The 20675-nt window shown below is 35.6% G+C and overlaps 1 protein-coding gene and 1 long non-coding RNA gene across 4 annotated transcripts in view; both read left to right on the top strand.

Moving 5' to 3' along the window:
- The window catches only part of NDST4 (N-deacetylase and N-sulfotransferase 4), a 285858-nt gene that overhangs the window by 98761 nt on the left and 166422 nt on the right, over nucleotides 1-20675 (top strand). The window lies entirely within an intron of this gene.
- Nucleotides 1814-14041, top strand: LOC124900764 (uncharacterized). The gene is made up of 2 exons (XR_007058239.1): nucleotides 1814-4137; nucleotides 7292-14041. It is a non-coding gene; the product is annotated as an uncharacterized LOC124900764 (long non-coding RNA).

Here is a 20675-nt window from a genome sequence, read left to right as displayed (position 1 = left end):
TAACTTTGTGGCAAATGGTTAAGTGTTCAGACCTAATAAGGTCCAGTAGGCCAAAAGATGTTTTCCAAAAGTAGAGTAGTTATCCAAGGAGGATGACAAGGCATTGCTCCAAAATTCTAAGGGATTTTGCTGTGATCACTTAAAGGGGCCTGCCAAAAACTCCAAGCAGCATCCTCTGCCATCGATACTCCAAGCACCATTGATTTGATAGATCATATAACCCAAGTGACACAGCAGCTTGCACAGTAGCCTGGACTTACTGCAGAGCCTTTTTCTGTTCTGAACCCTACTAAAAAATCTCAAAACCAGTAGATTTTCAAGTCATTAAGTCAATGTGCTGGAGTAACACACATCAGTGAGGAATACATTGATGCAACAACTTATCCTTCACCTTAGAAAATATATCTCGACATGACCAATACCATTAGCCCCTAAACATTTTACTGAGGTAGAAGGCCTCTGAACTTTTGTTGGATTTACTCCGTACCATCTTATTTGCAAATGTCTTACCCATAAGTTCGTTAGGTCTAATCAATATGATGTCATTAATGTAATAAACTAATGTGGTAAGTTATAGAAGGGAAGTGTGATCAAGGTTCCTGCAAACTAATTTAGGACATAGGGCTGGAGAGTTGATATAGCCATGAGACTCAGGGTAGTGCAAAAGCATTGCTGGCCTTACCAGCCAAACACAAACTGCTTTAGGTAGGCCTTATTGATAAGGATGAAGTAAAAGGCATTTGACAGATTAATAACTGCATAACAAGTACAAGAGGTTGTGCTGTTTCTCAAGCAATAAAACCACATCTGATACAGCAGCTGCAATTTGAGTCACCACCTGTGTAGGCTTAGGGTAATCCACTGTCATTCTCCAATATCCTTCTGTCTTTTGCACAGGCCAAATAGTCTATTCAAATGGGGATGTGGTGAGAATTATCACCTCTGCATCTTTCATGTTCTTGATAGTGAAACTAATCTCTGCAATTCCTCCAGGAATGCAGAATTGCTTATGATATACTACTTTCCTAGGTAAAGGCAGTTCCAGTGGCTTCCACTGGCCTTTTCTATCATAATAGACCTTACTTTTCAGGTTATGAAACCAATATAGGGATTCTATCAGCTGCTGAGTATATCCATTCCAGTTATGCATTCAGAACTGCAGAAATAAACACAGGATGAGTTCAGGGAACTGCTGGGCCTACTGTGAAATGGACTTGAGCTAAAACTCCATTGATCACCTGACCTCCATAAGCCCGTACTCTGAGTGGTGGACCACAGAAACATTTGGTGTCTCCTGGAATTATTGACAGTTCAAAGTCAGTCTCTATAGTCCCTAAAACATCTGATTATTTCCTTTTCTTCAGTACACATTTTCCCTGGTCAAAGACTGTAGATCCTTATGGGGCAGATTGGGAGAAAGATTAACAGTGTGTTATAAGTTTTTAAGTTTTAATTTCTGTGGGTACATATTAGGTATGTATGTGTGTGTATATATATATATATATATATATATGGTATTTATATTTTTATGGAGTACATGAGATATTTTGATACAGGCATACAATATATAATAATCATATTAGGGTAAATGGGATATCCATCACCTCAAGCATTTGTAAATCATTTCTTTGTGTTATAAACATTCCAATTATACTTGTTTGGTTATTAAAATGTACAATAAATTATTGTTTATTGTAGTCACCCTCTTGTGCTATCAAATACTAGATCTTATTCATTCTCTCTAACTATATCTTCATATATTAAGCATCCCCACTTTCCCCCTACCCCCACCCAGTACCCCCTCCTAACACCTGGTAACCATAATTCTACCCTCTGTGTTCATGAGTTCAATCGTTTTAATTTTTAGCTCCCACAAATAAATGAGAACATGCGAAGTTTGCCCTTCTGTGTCTAGCTTACTTCACTTATCACAATGTCCTTCAGTTTCATCCCTTTTGTTGCAAATGACAGAATTTCATTTAATTTTACTTCTAAATAATACTCCATTGTGCATACATTTTAAAATTATGTACCACATTGTCTTTATCCATTTGTCTACTGATGAACAATTAGATTGCTTCCACGTTTTGGCTATTATGAATAATGTTGCAAAAACATGAGAGTACAGGTATTTCTTTGATGTACTGATTTCCTTTCTTTTGGATATACACCCAGCACTGGGATTTCTGGATCATATGGTAGTTCTATTTTTCATTTTTTGGGGAACCTCCAAATTTCCAAATATAGTTGGCAAAATTAATTGTGGAATTGAAAAGACATTTAAATCAAACCTTTATATTAAAATTCATGGAGTAAAAACATACTTCAATATTAACTGTTTATTTTACTTAATTTGGGTAAGTAAATTCCAGCAAGAAAAGAGCACAAGTGAGGTCACTTAAGCCATGGTGTTGGAATGATAGTTTTACTTTGCAACCGTCAAGTAATAAAACATTTGATTTAGAATGACATTGAGCCATAACATCAAGTAGTGAAAATTTAAGATGCTGGTTCAATTTCCCATCAGATAACCCAGCCTTTTATAAATGAAAGCTCCCATATATCAGTGATAAATGTAAAAACAAGATGTTTTGCTGGTTGTAAAAAATGGTCTCAGAAATACCTAGCTTTAATAGGTATGATATCTAGGTTATAAAATTGATAAATTATCATTTGTTTTATGATGGGATCATTGATTCTTGGAATCAATTGTTGCCTGTTTATTGGTTTGTAATTTTTTGTTATTGTTTTATTTTCTTTTGTGAAGTAATTTATCAGCTCTAAGACCCTAGTACTCATTCTAAGTAGGCTTTGAATCCTCTCTTACTTTATTCACTTTACTCCTATCACACGTACACACACACATACACATTTTTCTCTCTTTCATGTTGCCATTCATGTATCCTATTTGTAAAATTTAAAAATAATTTAGTATATTTTTGTTAAATTAACAAAGCATTTTATTTATGGACATGAAAAATTAACACTGCTTCATGAACTTGCAACATTATTCATCAAGGGCGATGTAACTATTGTACAATAAATATGCTTTCATTTCTGTTCCTGTTATTTGGCTTCCATGTGAAATTGAGTTATTTTATCTTGAGGAAGCTATATTGGAATATAAAATAAAGTAAGTTCTATATTTTTCACAGAGATAAAAACTTTTAATATTTAAATAGACACTACATTACTTATTATTCCTGAATGAACAGATCTTACAATAGATTTTTATTGTTTATTATTACCTGAAACTGCTATTTCTCTAATAAATTCTTCACTTAAAAAACAAGATGTCTAAGTTGACAATGATAGGTCTTACAAGAAATGTTAGTTCATAAAGCTACCAACCATTTTAAGGAAGTGAGTACTGGAGATTGCAGGAAAAAAAAAAAATAGTGATGCCTTCATGTTAGTCTAAACTCCATTGTAAAAGTAGAAAGTTTGATGGTGCATGAAGTATAAAGAAAGGTTAAGAAATACGCTTGAATGGAGTATCTGAAGAGATAAGTGATAAGACTTTTCTCAGACTGTAGAAATATAGATAAGTACCAGAATGGCATGACAGCCATGAAGCACAGTTAAGGTAATTGTTTGGCCTATCAGTAGACATGTAACATACAGATGAATAGAAACCATTCAAGAGACAAGTAAGTCATATAGCAGGATAAGATAAGCATATTATTCCTTAGTACTAAGCTTCTGAAGGCAAACTGCATGTACATAGCATGAATGTTTCTATCAATTTCCTTTTTGTATCTATTTGTCAGTTGTTCGGTATTGTGGGAATTGTGGGAAAATGAAGGCATTACAATTATATTACATATGAAAATTAAATTATTATCAATGTGAAAAGATCAACATAGGCTTTATTAACTATTATTTTTGCCATGTTTAATTCTGAACCTGTGCTAAATTCAACATTGTATTTAATCAAATGGTTATAAATTTGTAGCAAAATTTTTAAGCAATAACTTTTTATTAGTAAGTGACCAAAGTGCCTAGCATCTTCATTTTTAGAAGTAGTTTAGAAGAAACTGAATTGTGTTTGAAAGAAGCAAGAATATATCTGGTGATTGTCTTTCATATTATCTGATATTTCAAGTCTATAATCCTACAATCGCTTTAGATTTCAAAGTCACAAAGAGCCATATATGTATTCTTTTTTTTATTATTATACTTTAAGTTTTAGGGTACATGTGCACAATGTGCAGGTTAGTTACATATGTATACATGTGCCATGCTGGTGTGCTGCACACATTAACTCGTCATTTAGCATAAGGTATATCTCTTAAAGCTATCCCTACCCCCTCCCCCAACCCCACAACAGTCCCCAGAGTGTGATGTTCCCCTTCCTGTGTCCATGTGTACTCATTGTTCAATTCCCACCTATGAGTAAGAATATGCGGTGTTTGTTTTTTTGTTCTTGCGATAGCTTACTGAGAATGATGATTTCAAATTTCATCCATGTCCTTACAGAGGACATGAACTCATCCTTTTTTATGGCTGCATAGTATTCCATGGTGTATATGTGCCACATTTTCTTAATCCAGTCTATCACTGTTGGACATTTGGGTTGGTTCCAAGTCTTTGCTATTGTGAATAGCGCCGCAATAAACATACGTGTGCATGTGTCTTTATAGCAGCATGATTTATAGTCCGTTGGGTATATACCCAGTAATGGGATGTCTGGGTCAAATGATATTTCTAGTTCTAGATCCCTGAGGAATTGCCACACTGACTTCCACAATGGTCGAACTAGTTTACAGTCCCACCAACAGTGTAAAAGTGTTCCTATTTCTCCACATCCTCTCCAGCACCTGTTGTTTCCTGACTTTTTAATGATTGCCATTCTAACTGGTGTGAGATGGTATCTCATTGTGGTTTTGATTTGCATTTCTCTGATGGCCAGTGATGGTGAGCATTTTTTCATGTGTTTTTTGGCTGCATAAATGTCTTCTTTTGAGAAGTGTCTGTTCATGTCCTTCGCCCACTTTTTGATGGGGTTGTTTGTTTTTTTCTTGTAAATTTGTTTGCGTTCATTGTAGATTCTGGATATTAGCCCTTTGTCAGATGAGTAGGTTGTGAAAATTTTCTCCCATTTTGTAGGTTGCCTGTTCACTCTGATGGTAGTTTCTTTTGCTGTGCAGAAGCTCTTTAGTTTAATTAGATCCCATTTGTCAATTTTGGCTTTCCTTGCCATTGCTTTTGGTGTTTTAGACATGAAGTCCTTGCCTATGCCTATGTCCTGAATGGTAATGCCTAGGTTTTCTTCTAGGGTTTTTATGGTTTTAGGTCTAACGTTTAAGTCTTTAATCCATCTTGAATTAATTTTTGTATAAGGTGTAAGGAAGGGATCCAGTTTCAGCTTTCTACATATGGCTAGCCAGTTTTCCTAGCACCATTTGTTAAATAGGGAATCCTTTCCCCATTGCTTGTTTTTCTCAGGTTTGTCAAGGATCAGATAGTTGTAGATATGCAGCATTATTTCTGAGGGCTCTGTTCTGTTCCATTGATCTATATCTCTGTTTTGGTACCAGTACCATGCTGTTTTGGTTACTGTAGCCTTGTAGTATAGTATGAAGTTAGGTAGCGTGATGCCTCCAGCTTTGTTCTTTTGGCTTAGGATTGACTTGGTGATGCGGACTCTTTTTTGGTTCCATATGAACTTTAAAGTAGTTTTTTCCAATTCTGTGAAGAAAGTCATTGGTAGCTTGATGGGGATGGCATTGAATCTATAAATTACCTTGGGCAGTATGGCCATTTTCACGATATTGATTCTTCCTACCCATGAGCATGGAATGTTCTTCCATTTCTTTGTATCCTCTTTTATTTCATTGAGCAGTGGTTTGTAGTTCTCCTTGAAGAGGTCCTTCATGTCCCTTGTAAGTTGGATTCCTAGGTATTTTATTCTCTTTGAAGCAATTGTGAATAGGAGTTCACTCGTGATTTGGCTCTCTGTTTGTCTGTTATTGGTGTATAAGAATGTTTGTGATTTGTGTCCATTGATTTTGTATCCTGCGACTTTGCTGAAGTTGCTTATCAGCTTAAGGAGATTTTGGGCTGAGACAATGGGGTTTTCTAGATATACAATCATGTCATCTGCAAACAGGGACAATTTGACTTCCTCTTTTCCTAATTGAATACCCTTTATTTCCTTCTCCTGCCTAATTGTCCTGGCCAGAACTTCCAACACTATGTTGAATAGGAGTGGTGAGAGAGGGCATCCCTGTCTTGTGCCATTCAAAGGGAATGCGTCCAGTTTTTGCCCATTCAGTATGATATTGGCTGTGGGTTTGTCATAGATAGCTCTTATTATTTTGAGATATGTCCCATCAATACCTAATTTATTGAGAGTTTTAAATTTTCAACCCAGAATTTCATATCCGGCCAAACTAAGCTTCATAAGTGAAGGAGAAATAAAATACTTTACAGACAAGCAAATGCTGAGTGATTTTGTCACCACCAGGCCTGCCCTAAAAGAGCTCCTGAAGCTAAACATGGAAAGGAACAACTGGTACCAGCCACTGCAAAATCATGCCAAATTGTAAAGACCATCGAGTCTAGGAAGAAACTGCATCAACTAAAGAGCAAAATAACCAGCTAACATCATAATGACAGGATCAAATTCACACATAACAGTATTAACTTTAAATGTAAATGGCCTAAATGCTCCAATTAAAAGACACAGACCGGCAAATTGGATAAAGAGTCAAGACCCATCAGTGTGCTGTATTGTATTTCTAAGACTATTCTTGTGGTCAGCTCAGAAATTCTGTTGTGGATTAGAAACCTCAGAGAAACTCACTGGCCTGTAGGTCATTCCCAGGGTTTCTAATTTAGTTGAAAAGGAAATAAAGAAATTTAGTGCCCATTGTGTGGTGGATTTAAAAATAAATTTTATTCTAGCATCTTTGGAACCACTTGAATTCCAAGGACAACTCAGGAACAGAGCCAGCTTTTACTCAGGCCTCAGATCCTTTCAGGAGCAATGCAAACAGAGCCCAGAGAGGAGTTGTGCCAGATGGTCTTTGCCTCAGTTACATTTCTTTCAGAGAAGCAAAGGGAAATGCTTGGACCTGCTGAACATATTCCAGAAAGTCTTCCTGTTGTCTTTAGCATCTAAGCAGATATCAGCTAATGAGGTCTTTTATTTTGGTTTGTTTTTGTGTGGTAAATGATTCCCTGCGTTTCATATCCCATTTCTCCCAACCTTCCTTGGGACTTTATTCCATCAGTCCTTCTATCTCTTGGTTGTATCATCATTCCAGCTTTCTGTTGGAATTCTCAGCTCACCCTACTTTCCTCTTAAACAAACCAACAAAAAACAACCGAATAAAAAACTCTTTCTTAATCCACATGTATCATTACCTTCTGTTTCATCAGTTTTTGTCTGTTTACTCTTGAAGGTGCTGTCTACATTCGCTTCTCACTTAAATTTTCAATTGCGTATAGCCTGTGTTCTTGCCACTATCACCCCATTGAAATGGTTCTTGTTATTTCCCAGTCATATTTACATGGTGAAAGTAAAAGCACATTTTGTCACCATTTCACAAAACAGAAATATAAGGGTTAAGCATTTAGAAGTTTTAACCATACTACAGCTGCATGTTTACTGGTTCCATAGTCTGTGCCTCAATTATCATGTATGTAAAAGGAGGTGATAGTATGGTAGTGAGAGTTAAATTATTTACATGTAGTGTTATTAGCAGTGTCTGGCTCAACAAGTTTAATTTAACTATCAGTATCTCCATTTCCTGAGATATAAAATGGAGAATTACAATAGTTCATTTTATACGGGAATTAAGCCCTGAGGCTGAATGCTTTAACCAATGTAAAGTACATAGAGTAAATATGCAATAAAACCTAGCCATTTTATAATTCTCACAATTGTAAGTCTTGATCACATCTATTATTATTACTGTTGTTGTTATTATTATTATTATCGCAATTTTTCTGGCTGTTTCTTAGTAGTCTTCTTGCTGGCTGCCTTTCTCCATTCACACCATAACCATTAAGTGTTCCCAAGGTGCTGTAGTTGGCTTTCTACTATACTAATTCTACATATGTCTCTGTAAACTTTATCCAAACCCATGGTTTCAACTTCACCAGACACATGACAACTCCAGAATCCTCTCCTTATGTACAATTTATATATACCACTTCTGGGTGTCTCAGCTTGACTATTCCTCAAGTAGTTCAAATTCAGCCTGTCTCAAAAAGATACCGTCATCTTTTCCCACAAACTTGTTCTTCCTCTGCCTGTGAATCTCATTCCTATGCCTCTACATGTTTAAAAGAAAAATTAGGGATTTAAATTAACAACTTCTTTTTGACTTCTCTCCTATATTAAATCTGTATCTAATACCTGTCTATTAAACTATGTTGATAGCTTTCATATTTATTACTACCCCTTTTTTCCCAAGTCCAGTTTTTTTAAATTATTTTTATAGTTATAGGATTCCAACTGCCTATAGGCTGATTCAGCTTCTATTCATCTGCAATGAATGATATCTGTTTGATCATCATCATTCCCCTGATTAAAGATATTAAATGGCACCCTATTACTTTGAGGATGAAATTCAAATCCTTTAGTTTGTTACACAAAGCCTATCTTTATTTTTGTCTCCTGTTCTTAATCAACTCTTCCTCAGTCATAAAGGACTTCTAGCCATTTCCTGAATGTATGTTTTGTGTTGTCTTTCCAGGCTTTACATATACCTATTTATTTCTTTTTTTTCTTTTTTTCTTTCTCTTTCTTTCTTTATTTCTTTTCTCTCTCTTTTTTCTATCTCTCCTTCTTCTTCTTCTTTTTTTTTTTTTTTTTTGAGATAGAGTCTCACTCTGTCACCCAGGCTGGAGTGCAGTGACGCGATCTCAGCTCACTGCAAGCTCTGCCTCCCGAGTTCAAGCGATTCTCTGCCTCAGCCTCCCGAGTAGCTGAGATTACAAACGCATACCACCACACCTGGCTAATTTTTGTATTTTTAGTGGAGACGAGGTTTCACCATGTTGGCCAGGCTGGTTTCGAACTCCTGACCTCAAGTCTTCCACCCACCTCAGCCATATACCTGTTTCTGTTTTATTTTTTCTGGATTGCCCCCACCATCTTATCCAGCTAACTTGTACTCAACCTTCAGATCTCACTTATCTCTTGGTCACCACCTCTAGGATGCCTCTAGTCTTATTCAGAAGCCCCATTCATACCTAAGATTAGTTTGAATATAGTAAACCCTGCACTTTTAGGATCAGTATTCTTGCCTTTTCCCACTGGACTATGAGCTCAATAAAAACAAGGACTTGTCACTCATTGTTCAACCTCCCACTCTCTTCTCCCCAACCATGTGGGCCTCCTAGTTCTTCCTCTACTACCTCAGACATGCTTTCTTCCCAAGATATTGGTGTTGCTTGCCACTTCTGCCATATATGCCTATGGCTCACTATCTCCTTCTCTTTAAAACTCTGGTAAGATCCCAATAGCTTAGAAACACCTGCCATTACCACCCTATTTAAACTGCAAACCACCCTATCAGCAGGCCCAGCAACCTTACCTTATTAATCTCTATGATATTATGTAATGTGTTTATTAGGTCTATAGACTGTCTCCTCTGTTTAATGTAAGCATGAAAGAGGGGCCATTTGTGTGTATTGTTCTCTATTGTATCACCAGTGCCTGGAAAAAAGTGAACACTCAAAAATATTTAGCAAACAATGAATAGAAAGAGTGATGAATTATTCTTCTTTGTAGGCAGTATAGTGACAATCACATAATAGGTATCCCATAAATATTTATAGAATTAATAAGAAATTAAAATGTTTAAGAAATTCAATTTTAATAATTAAATTCAATGTAAGCAATTTAAAATTAAAGAATCCAGTTCTTGTTAAAATTAGAGGAAAAATTCTCCTATCATGAATGTTGAAAAATAGTCAATCCTGTAAATACAGCTAAACTCCTGTGTGTTCACCTGAAAATTAAGCTGTAACAAACTTAATTTTGTGGTAGAAAAAGCTAAACTATTTTCCACTTTTTCTCCTATTAAAAATTTAGGAAAAACCCTGGGAACTTTTGCCCAGTTAGTCCTGAAAAGGATGAAATATTAAGTACTAAAGAAACACCATACATGTCTTATACAACTCACTGGACTAATACACCTGTTATAGTAGAATAACTTTCTATTATATGTTCAAATTGTACTGTGATTTGGGGTTGATTGAGAAGGGGTGGTTGGTGTGACGAGCAGCAAGATGAAGATATATTTATACCAACCTCATGCTCAGGGCCAGCTTTACTTATAGAATGACAAATAGATTTGCTTTTTTCTCAGCCGCAGCTCAGAAAGCTTCCTATTGCCTTCGTTGTACATAGTGCACCCAAAGCTTAAGACTTGGGAAATAAAGTATTACCATGAGCCAGCTGCAAAAGCAGTCTGCAAATTCGCTTTACCTCCCATAGGGATGAAAACTGAATTATGTTGTTTGCAAGCCTGTACCTTTCCTAGATCTCCACTAAAAATTCTTATATATTTATTGTTTTGGTAAATCATGATACAAATTTTGAAGCCAAGTAAGTGTTAATAATTAAGTGTTGTCAGGCTAAAAAAACTTCTAATTAATTTTTTTGGTTTTAATTGGTTATGAAATTAAGTTGGTACAAATGATTTTCAGCTGTTTATATTTTTAATCATTGGGTATTTTTTCCTATTTGATTAAAATAAACAAAGGCTTAGGCGATTAGATCCATAGAGATAGGCAAAGAGCAGGAAATTTCTTATTTCTATAAGTAAAGGAGGCCACATGTCAATAAGTAAAGAAAGAGCAGAGTCTTGGTAGAATGGAATGTCCAGTGGCCTAGAGGTACACAGACTCCAAGTTCTCTTCCCCACTCAGCCTCTTATTGACTGTAAGAAGGGGAAACATCTATTTAAACACTGCGCACCTCATTTTCTTTATTTTAAAATGACATTAATTATAATTAACTTTTTTTTTTTTGAGACAGAGTCTTACACTGTCGCCTGGGCTGGAATGCAATGGTGTGATCTCAGCTCACTACAACCTCCACCTCCCGGGTTCAAGCAATTCTCCTGCCTCAGCCTCCCGAGTAGCTGGGAGTACAGGTGCCCGCCACCGTGCCTGGCTAATTTTTTTATACTTTTAGTAGAGATGGAGTTTCACTATATTGGTCAGGCTGGCCTCAAACTCCTGACCTCATGATTTGTCTGCCTCTGCCTCCAAAAGTACTGGGATTACAGGCGTGAGCCACCGCTAAGTACTAGTACCCCTTTTTTTAAAAAAGAATACAGTCTTTAAATTTATTCTTAAAAATTTTTGTCAGTGACTTCAACAAGATTTCCAGGCAAAGGTGAATGCATCATAAAATTAGGTAAAGGCGACATAAAATCTGGAGAATAATAGACACTAGGTTTAGGAACATGGTGAGAGATGACCTTGTAATCATGCATCAGCTTTGATTTCCATGCATTTCTTGGAGAAACAAAATATATAAGATCACTGTTATCACTACAATCTGTGAATTCCTATGGCCAGTAGTAGCCAAAGACAATCTTAAATTTTGTTTGATTTTAAACATCTAGAATTCTTTTTTCTTCTTCTTTTTAACTTTAAGTTCTGGGATACATATGCAGAACGTGCAGGTTTGTTATATAGCTATACATGTGCCATGGTGCTTTGCTGCACCCATCAACCTGTCATCTAGGTTTTAAGCCCCGCATGCATTATGTATTTGTCCTAATGCTCTCCCTCCCTTTGTCCCTGCAGCCCTGGTCAGGCCCCAGTGTATGATGTTCCCCTCCCTGTATCCATGTATTCTCATTGTTCAACTGTAACTTATGAGTGAGAACACATGGTGTTTGGTTTTCTGTTCCTGTGTTAGTTTGCTGAGAATGATGGTTTCCAGCTTCATCCATGTCCCTGAAAAGAATGTAAACTCATTCTTTTTTATGGCTGCATAGTATTCCATGGTACATATGTGCAACATTTTCTTTATCCAGTCTATTAATTATGGGCATTTGGGTTGGTTCCAAGTCTTCGCTATTGTAAATAGTTCTGCAATAAACCTACATGTGCATGTGTCTTTATAGTAGAAAGATTTATAATCCTTTGGGTATATACCTAGTAATGGGATTCCTGGGTCAAATGGTATTTCTGTTTCTAGATCCTTGAGAAATCACCACACTGTCTTCCTCAGTGGTTTAAAGGCTTAAATGTAAAACCTAAAACCATAAAAACTAGAAGAACACCTAGGCAATACGATTCAGGACATAGGCGTGAGCAAAGACTTCATGACTAAAACACCAAAAGCAATTGCAACAAAAGCCCAAATTGGCAAATGGGATCTAATTAAACTAAAGAGCTTCTGCACAGCAAAAGAAACTATCATCAGTGTAAACAGGCAACCTACAGAATGGGAGAAATTTTTGTAATCTACCCATCTGACAAAGGGCTAATATCCAGAATCTACAAGGAACTTAAACAAATTTATAAGAAACAAACAACCCCATCAAAAAGTGGGCAAAGGATATGAACAGACAATTCTCAAAAGAAGACATTGATGTGGCCAACAAACATGAAAAAAAGCTCATCATCACTGGTCATTAGAGAAATGCAAATAAAAACCACAGTGAGATACCATCTCATGCCAGCTAGACTGACAATTATTAAAATGTCAGGAAACCACAGATGCTGGTGAGGCTGTGGAGAAATAAGAACCCTTTTACACTATTAGTGGCAGTGTAAATTAGTTCAAACATTGTAGTACCCATTTTATATTACTCCTTTTACATCTTCATATACTAGCATCATAACTTGAAGAAAGAACTTTTTAATTTATTATTTGATAGAGGAGGAGATAAACTATAGGGACATTGAATAAGATGCCCCAGCAGACAGAGCTTATAAGTAACGGAGTAGGGTTCATACCTCACTCTGCCTGGGCTCTTACATATTTACCATGCTGCCTTTAGGCATGATTATAATACCTGCCTTGGGAAAATGCACACAGTGAATATGAAAACAAATTAAGTTCATTTCATGAAGTAAATTGAAAGCTGCAAGTCATTTTTGAAAACAAGGCATCATTTACACAATTATTTATTAAGCATAAAATACAGCTGACTGCTATGTTGAGGGATGCTGTAAAAATAAAATGTCCTATTTGGTTCTAGTCCTGAAGGATTCTAAATTACATTATAATATATATAGTATATTATATTAGAGTGGAGCGTATAATTATTATATAGTAAAAATTACCTAATACAGGGAGTCATTTTTCTTTGGTAATCAAACAGAATTCTACTCTGGTATCTCATGCCAAATCAGTTGATTGGAAGTCACAAGACAGCTTACATATTCGTATAAAAAGCAGGAAAAAAAAACCCATGAATCTCCTAACAGGGGGCAGAACAAGCTCTGATAGTCTAGGTGGGGAAACTAATGGTTGTGCTCTCCGCAGCATTAGTCTGGTGGGCCGATCAACTCTAACATTCTGTCTTTGGGTCACTCTTCTGAATAATTACATACCTAGGAAAGAGTCTTGCTAGCCTAGTTTGACTGTATGCTGACCCCTTGATCAAGGCAAGGCAAGCCATAAGCATCCCACTGAGACCTCATGCAATGCCAGAAAACCAAGGTGCTATTACCAGTAAAAAGGAAAATGATTGATTAGCAAGAAAAGCAAAAGTGATCACTCTAACAAGTAAATAAATGCTATGGTCTGAATGTTTGTGTCACTAAAATTCATATGTTAAAACTCTCACCCCTAAGGTGATGATATTAGAAGTTGAGGTCTTTGAGGGAGATGAAGAGTGGGTCATGAGGATGAAGGCCTCATGAATGGGATTAGTGCATTTGTAAAGGTGCCCAGGGGAGTTCATGCATCCTTTCCACCATGTGAGGCCACACATAGAAGATGCCATCTGTGAACTAGAAAGAGTGCCTTCACTAGACATCAAATATGTCATTGTCTTGACTTCTGACTTCTCAGCCTCCAGTACTGTAAGAAATAAATTTCTTATGTTAATCAGCTCCTTAGTCTGTGGTCTTTTGTTATAGCCGACCAAATGGACTAGGACAATCAAAGATCATAATGGAAAGATTTGGATGAAGATTTCAGGAGAGATGTAATTCTTGAAGGACAGAAAGGTTTTCAACAGTTGAGTGCAGAAAATTCTTGCAGAAGGGTAAGAAATTTTGCGTAGTAATTAGTGTCATATCAAGGATTATGGACTACTACTTCATTAATAATAAAGACAGATAGTAAGTATTTGCCTCATGTAGTTTTAGGTTTGTTTTGTTTTATTTTGCTTTATTTTTAAATTACTGACAATCCTTTTGGGTCCATGTGTAAATAGTCCTCACTGCATACATTGAAAGGGTCTGAAGACATCTTAAAATTTGTTATAGCTTTGTGATTTATCATCATTAGTTTATTCAATGAGATGTTTGATTTCTTAGCAGAATTCTAAGATGTAGATATTCTCATGAGGCAAAAAATAAAAAAAAATGAAAGGTTAAATTCCTGAAAAATCAGGTAAGATGATAAATGAAGATACTTTACTTTCTTACATTGTAATTTATGTCATTTAACTTTACCCTCATTTCATCATTCTTTGGAACCAGCATAATAGTCAAATCAGTTCCTCTTAATGTCAGATGATCTAGTTGCCATCACATTTTGGAAGTGAATTGAGTTGAGAAAATATACCTCTTAAACAATTATGCAAGTTAACATTTCAAAACACAGGTTTGTATAACATTTCAAAACACATAGCTAATGCTATGGCATTAGATTACAACATAGAATAACAGTTGTTCGTGACTTTTGATAAAAGAATCAGAAGTATATACTTAAATTACAGATTTGGAAGATATTCTTGAAAGATAATAACATTGACACATAAGATTGGCAAAAAGAAGATTTTTTGATAAGTATAGGTCCTTCACTGATCACCTCCCCAAGGGCCTTCCAGACATATCAATTACAAGTTTACTAAATACCTCATCAGGATTCTGAGGTATTATATACCTCCTAACAGCCTTTACGACAATAATTCCTTTCCTCCTGACTTCCATATTTTAGGATACATTTTCTGGAAAACCTCTGTGATTACCTGTTGCCTAGGAAGTAAGTTCAAAATTCTCAGCAAGAAAATAAAAGGAAGGAATGCTACTCTGAATGTTTTACCATTCCATGAATAAGCTAAGACCTTTGATAATGCTATTATTTATTTACAGTTATTGTGCTTCAAATCTTCTTTATTTGGAAAAGCCAGGTGTCCAGTAAGAGTTTTCTTAATGAATGAATATCCAAATAAGAATTATAATAAACTTTTAAATTTATGATGATAATATTAATCACTTGCTTTTATGGAGCACTTTCTGTGCAAGCAGAATCAATCCTAAGAAGTTACTATGTAGCATCTCAATTATTTCTCATAAAGTAGGAAGTAGATATGAGTATTAGTTTCATTTTACAAATAATGGAATTGAGAGGTGAAGGAGAATCTAAATGGTCACACCACTAGTACACAGCGGACCAGGATACAAATCTAGAGCTCCTACAAGGACTCAGAAGCAAGACTGCTTATGATTAAATCCACAGTGCTTCATAACAGCTGTTCTATTACCTGCTAATTCCTATGGAAGCCAAACCTATAGGCATTCACAAAAACGCACAACTAATTAAATATCTCAGTGAAGCAAATAAGTAAAAAATAGATATATGAATCCACCCATTCATTAACAAATATGCATCATGTACCTAATTCACTCCAGAAGCTGTGCCCAGTATTTGTGATATAACAGCAAACAAAATAGACCTTGACCTCATCTTCATGAAGTTTACTTTCTCAATCTTGTGTGATTATGATATGAGATAAACAAGATGCATTTTCAACTCGACCCAAAGTTTAGGCCACACAATAGGGGGAAATCACAAGTCACGCCTAATCATGAGGCTTGGTGGATGAGGTAACTCCTCTGAAAAGGGCAAGCCAAATTCAAGCCCAAGGTCTACAGGGAATTTATTTACCAGCAAGAGTCCTTTGCCAAAAAGGAAAAATATAACATACCATGAAGCAGTTTCCCAGGGAAATGGAAGCAAGACCACCAAATACTCTATTGATAAAGTTTAGGGGCATATTAAAAAAGGAAACTCTCTAATTGCAAAACTATAGTCAGACCACAAAAGCTCCTGTATCAGCAATGTCACTTTGATGATGTATCTGAGAGCAATGAGGCTTAAAAGCCTGAATTCTAGCACTTATGGTATGAGACTGCTTTTAATTCTTGCCCAGAATCTGTTTTCTTTTAAAAACAATGTTTCCCTAAGGCCTTCATCAAAGGCATGAGGTATGTGCTACTCCAGAGTATCTGTTCCCCAGGGAATAGTTAATGGGGTTGCACAGTGTGAGCCATGACCTCCTCATCTCTGCACTTTGGGGAATTCATTTTCAACTTGGATTCTAAGCTGGAAGTGATTCTTTCCACTAAAACAGGTTTTAGAAAACCTCTATCATAGCACACAGCATGCAGAAAAAAGCTAATCTCCAGAAGAGGCTGTAGATATAGGATGCTCACTTTGGGGATAGACAAAGAGAAAGTTACAGTGTGAAGCATCCGTTTTTGCATTTAGCAAAGCAAACACCAAGTTTTGTGGACAGCTGCAAGAATTCTGAAACTAGAGGGCATGACAGGAAAGCAGGCAAGGGATAAGAACCACTGGTGGAAGTGATTAATCCTTAGGTCCTCTAAGTATAGGAATCCAGTATAAAGCAAAATGATTCCATTAGCCATACTACTTAGAAGTTGTCATCAGTGGAGGATACCTAGAGATGACTACCACAACATATTATATATGCCTGTGTATCATAGACTACATATAATTTTCAACATAGCCTGTCATTTCCAACAAATCCTTTAATCCTCTTCAAAAAGATGCAAGTTTAAAACCCCTAGAACCAGGGGGAATTATTTGTCTATTATAATCAGGATTTTGATGGTTGGAGTGGGCAGAAAAGAACATCGCTAACATAATTCTTTTATAATGAGTCATAGTTCTCTCTGAGTGTATAGAGCAAGCTAATGGAGTATTCACTTCAATGCATTACCTTCTGTGTCTGTACTATAGATAAGGCATTGTGCATGTTTATTTATGTGAGAAACATGAAGATAAATAAAAGTTCCTTCCCTCTAAGCCTTTACTATCTTGCAGGAAGTTAGGAAAAGTTTCACAAAAACAATACAAGACTGAATTAATTTACATAGCTTTCTTGGGTGTAATATTTATGCTTCAATATTCTGATTACTTAGACATCAATGTGGTAGGCTATGTTCTGCCATACTGAAAAAAAAATTAATCACCAACCAATTAAAACAGTGATAAGTTTCATACTCCTTAGAGCTGGGTTTATGAATTTTTGATAATATTATCACCTATCTGACAGATATATTTTTCCTTTAGCAACTTGGGTAACATAACTCTTTTTGTTTTTTTCTCATTCTGTCTCCTTGATATAAACATGCTAGGAGAAGTAGAAAGAAAATAATATGAAACAATAAATTTTCTCCTCTTAAATAATCTGGAAAAACATTGTGGAAGTTTTGGGTTTATAAGAGGACTAGTTAGTGGGAATACTAGTTTTGCAATAGGGCTTTGGTGGAAGTGAAAAATACTCCACATAAGCAAAAGCTCCGAAGTTAGAAAATGAATCATATTGGCAAATAGGTCACATCATTATCCTGGATAAGCGGAAAATAGGAGGAAGTGAAAAATATCTAAATGACTTTGTCCATGGTAGAGACATTTAAGCAACAAAATACAACATTGCTAGGTCAGGTAGCTGCCTCATAGGTACCAGAAGTACCTATTTAATACAATACCCTGCAGCACCATTGATATTTATGAACTCATTTGAGTAAAAGTAAGTAGATATTTCTTCTAAACATGACTTTTTAATTTTTGTTTTGCTCTATGAGGCCACCTATGAACACATGAAAAAGAAATTATCTAGAATCATTTTCTAATTTTGCCTGCATGAAAAGAAGTACATTGGCAAGTAGTTTGAGTTCTCAATTTAAACTAGTGAGGAACACATACCGAATGAAATTTTAATTTTTAGTATCGGTCTTCTTTAAATAACCTAAGGAATTTGTTGTAATAAAAATGAGATGTGCTTATTTGATTTTTGGCTGACCATTCTCTGACAGGTACAAGGAGGGGGACTTGGCTTGATGCAGAAGCTAGAACCTAGGAAACAGAGAGGAGAGCTAAGATCAGTCCTTAAAAGGCCTCTTGGATGTTTCTATTACTTAAAGGTGTTCTTATCTTGAAAAAGTCTTTTCATACACAAAATTGGGAATTAGTTATGAGTCATAACAATATAACATGACAGAAAACTGCTGTATTAGTTCTTTCTTACGTTGCTATAAAGAAATACTCAGGTCTGAGTAATTTATAAAGAAAAGGGATTTAATTGACTCACAGTTCTGCATGATTTGGGGGGACTCAGGAAACTTACAGTCGTGGTGGAAGGCACCTCTTCACAGGGGCAGCGGGAAAGAGAATGAGTGCAAGCAGGGGAAACACCAGACGCTTATAAAACCATCAGATCTGAGAACTCACTCACTATCACAAGAACGGCATAGGGGAAACTGCATCCATGATCTGATTACCTCTACCTGGTCCTGCCCTTGACATGTGGAGATTATGGGGATTACAATTCAAGGTGAGATTTGAGTGGGGATACAGAGCCAAACCATATAAACTGGGAAATCAGAGAACCTGGATTATGATCTCTTAAGATAAGTTTCCTATGGAAATGTCAGCAATATTATGATCATTCTAGTTTTTTGTTTCTTCATGAATATAAATACTATATGCATATTGCATATGACTTGTATGAGTCATTTCATTTATATTGCACATTAATTCTTTAAGGTAAGTATTTTTCTCCCTATTTTAAGAATAAGAAAACTAAGGTTCAGGAAACTCACTCAGCCAGTCAGTGGACAACCCAAGTTTCTACTTTAAATCTTTACTGAGTTGTCATTTAATACATCAAAAAAAAGTTTTTTGCATAGTAAGTTACAGAGAGATTTTAAAAAACATTTGTAACAATTAAATGCACCATATAGGAAATAAAAACAAATAAAAACAGAAGCATTCTGATAAAAATGAATAATTGGGAAGATCATTTTGGAGAATTCAAATAAAATTCCCACAGAAGTATCAGGATTGTTTAACATCATTTAGTCTGTAACCATATTTGATGGTCTGAATGGAGTACATTAGGCAGTACAAAATGACTGTACATGTATGTCTAAGTCAGATGCTTATTCAAATTAACATTACCTTTCAATGCCAGGATGTCAGCATTGTAATGATAATAGTTATCTCTACAAAAGAGATGTCAAAATACTTTTGCTGTTTGTTACTTCTAAGTGAAAATAGAAAATAGAGGTAGCAATTGAAAATGAATCAATAGTATACATGATTATGAATCTAGCTAATCTCTTAATTCAAATAAGAATATTATCAGCCTGTCATTGCAAATGTGTCACTTACATTCACATTAATGTAAGAATCACATTAATGATTCTACATTCATATTTCCCTTAACAGTAGTAAGACAGTTCTGGCTTCATCCCATTATATCATTAAATGGACTGTTTATAACTGCATAGCTTTCTACTCGGCTTAGGTGAAATTAGTAATAATGAGAAAGAATAATAACTTAAATGCTTCTTGGGGATTCTAGAGGAAAAGTTGTGAGAATTAGCCAGTTCAACACACATTTTAGTGTCTAAATTTATACTTCTGGTCCAAGTTCAATAATCTATAATATTGATAAATCAGATAAAATTTCAGACTTCCTGAAGTGACCTATCCCAAAAAAAGCAGATAATTTAGTCAAGAATTTTTCTTCTGCTGCTTAAGAAATTTGTGGAGATTTTATGATTCCCTTCATTCAGCCTGTCATTTTCTGGTTAGTTAATCATAAATAGTTAGTGATGGCTTGTTGATTAATTAACAGGAAAAATGAAAGCCATTAATGTTTTTTAAACCCAAGAGGATAAGATTTTTTCCAAGCTCAAAGTATTCTTCATATTGCAGTCTTATTCTTGTTGTATCATCATCTAACCCCAAAGGCTCCAAAACCCAGCTGTATACAATGGTTCGGTAACTAAGGAAAACATTTTTGTATTTGAACATGATTTCCTATTCATCTCAGTCAACTGACAGTAATTACAGCAACACTGGAAATTTCTTTACCCTGGGGACATGAGTGTTGAGCACCTACCTCCTTGTAACTGATTTCCATCAGTTTCAAACGCTACTAGCATTCATCCCATACACACTTATTGATCACTCTGTGTTCTAGGTACTTTTAGGCTCATGGGATGCATCATGGTACAAAGAAAGACAGAAAAAAAGCAAGGAGATTTGAGGTGAAGCCAAATATTCCAAGCGTGTATGTATACTTGCAAAGAAAGAAAGGTTCTCTGCTCTCATTCAAGTGGCTGGGAGAAAGTTTAGATATATAATGCTAAATTATATGGTATACCAGAAGGTGTTAAGTCATATGGAACATAAAATTTTTTAGACAACTTTATTCTGTTTTGTTTGTTCAGCAGAAAATTACATATTTTAAATGTAA

Source organism: Homo sapiens, chromosome 4 (genome assembly GCF_000001405.40).
Source record: "Homo sapiens chromosome 4, GRCh38.p14 Primary Assembly".
Lineage (NCBI taxonomy): Eukaryota > Metazoa > Chordata > Mammalia > Primates > Hominidae > Homo > Homo sapiens.
The sequence above is the reverse complement of the archived record's forward strand: the minus strand, read 5'-3'. Positions and strand labels throughout refer to the sequence as shown.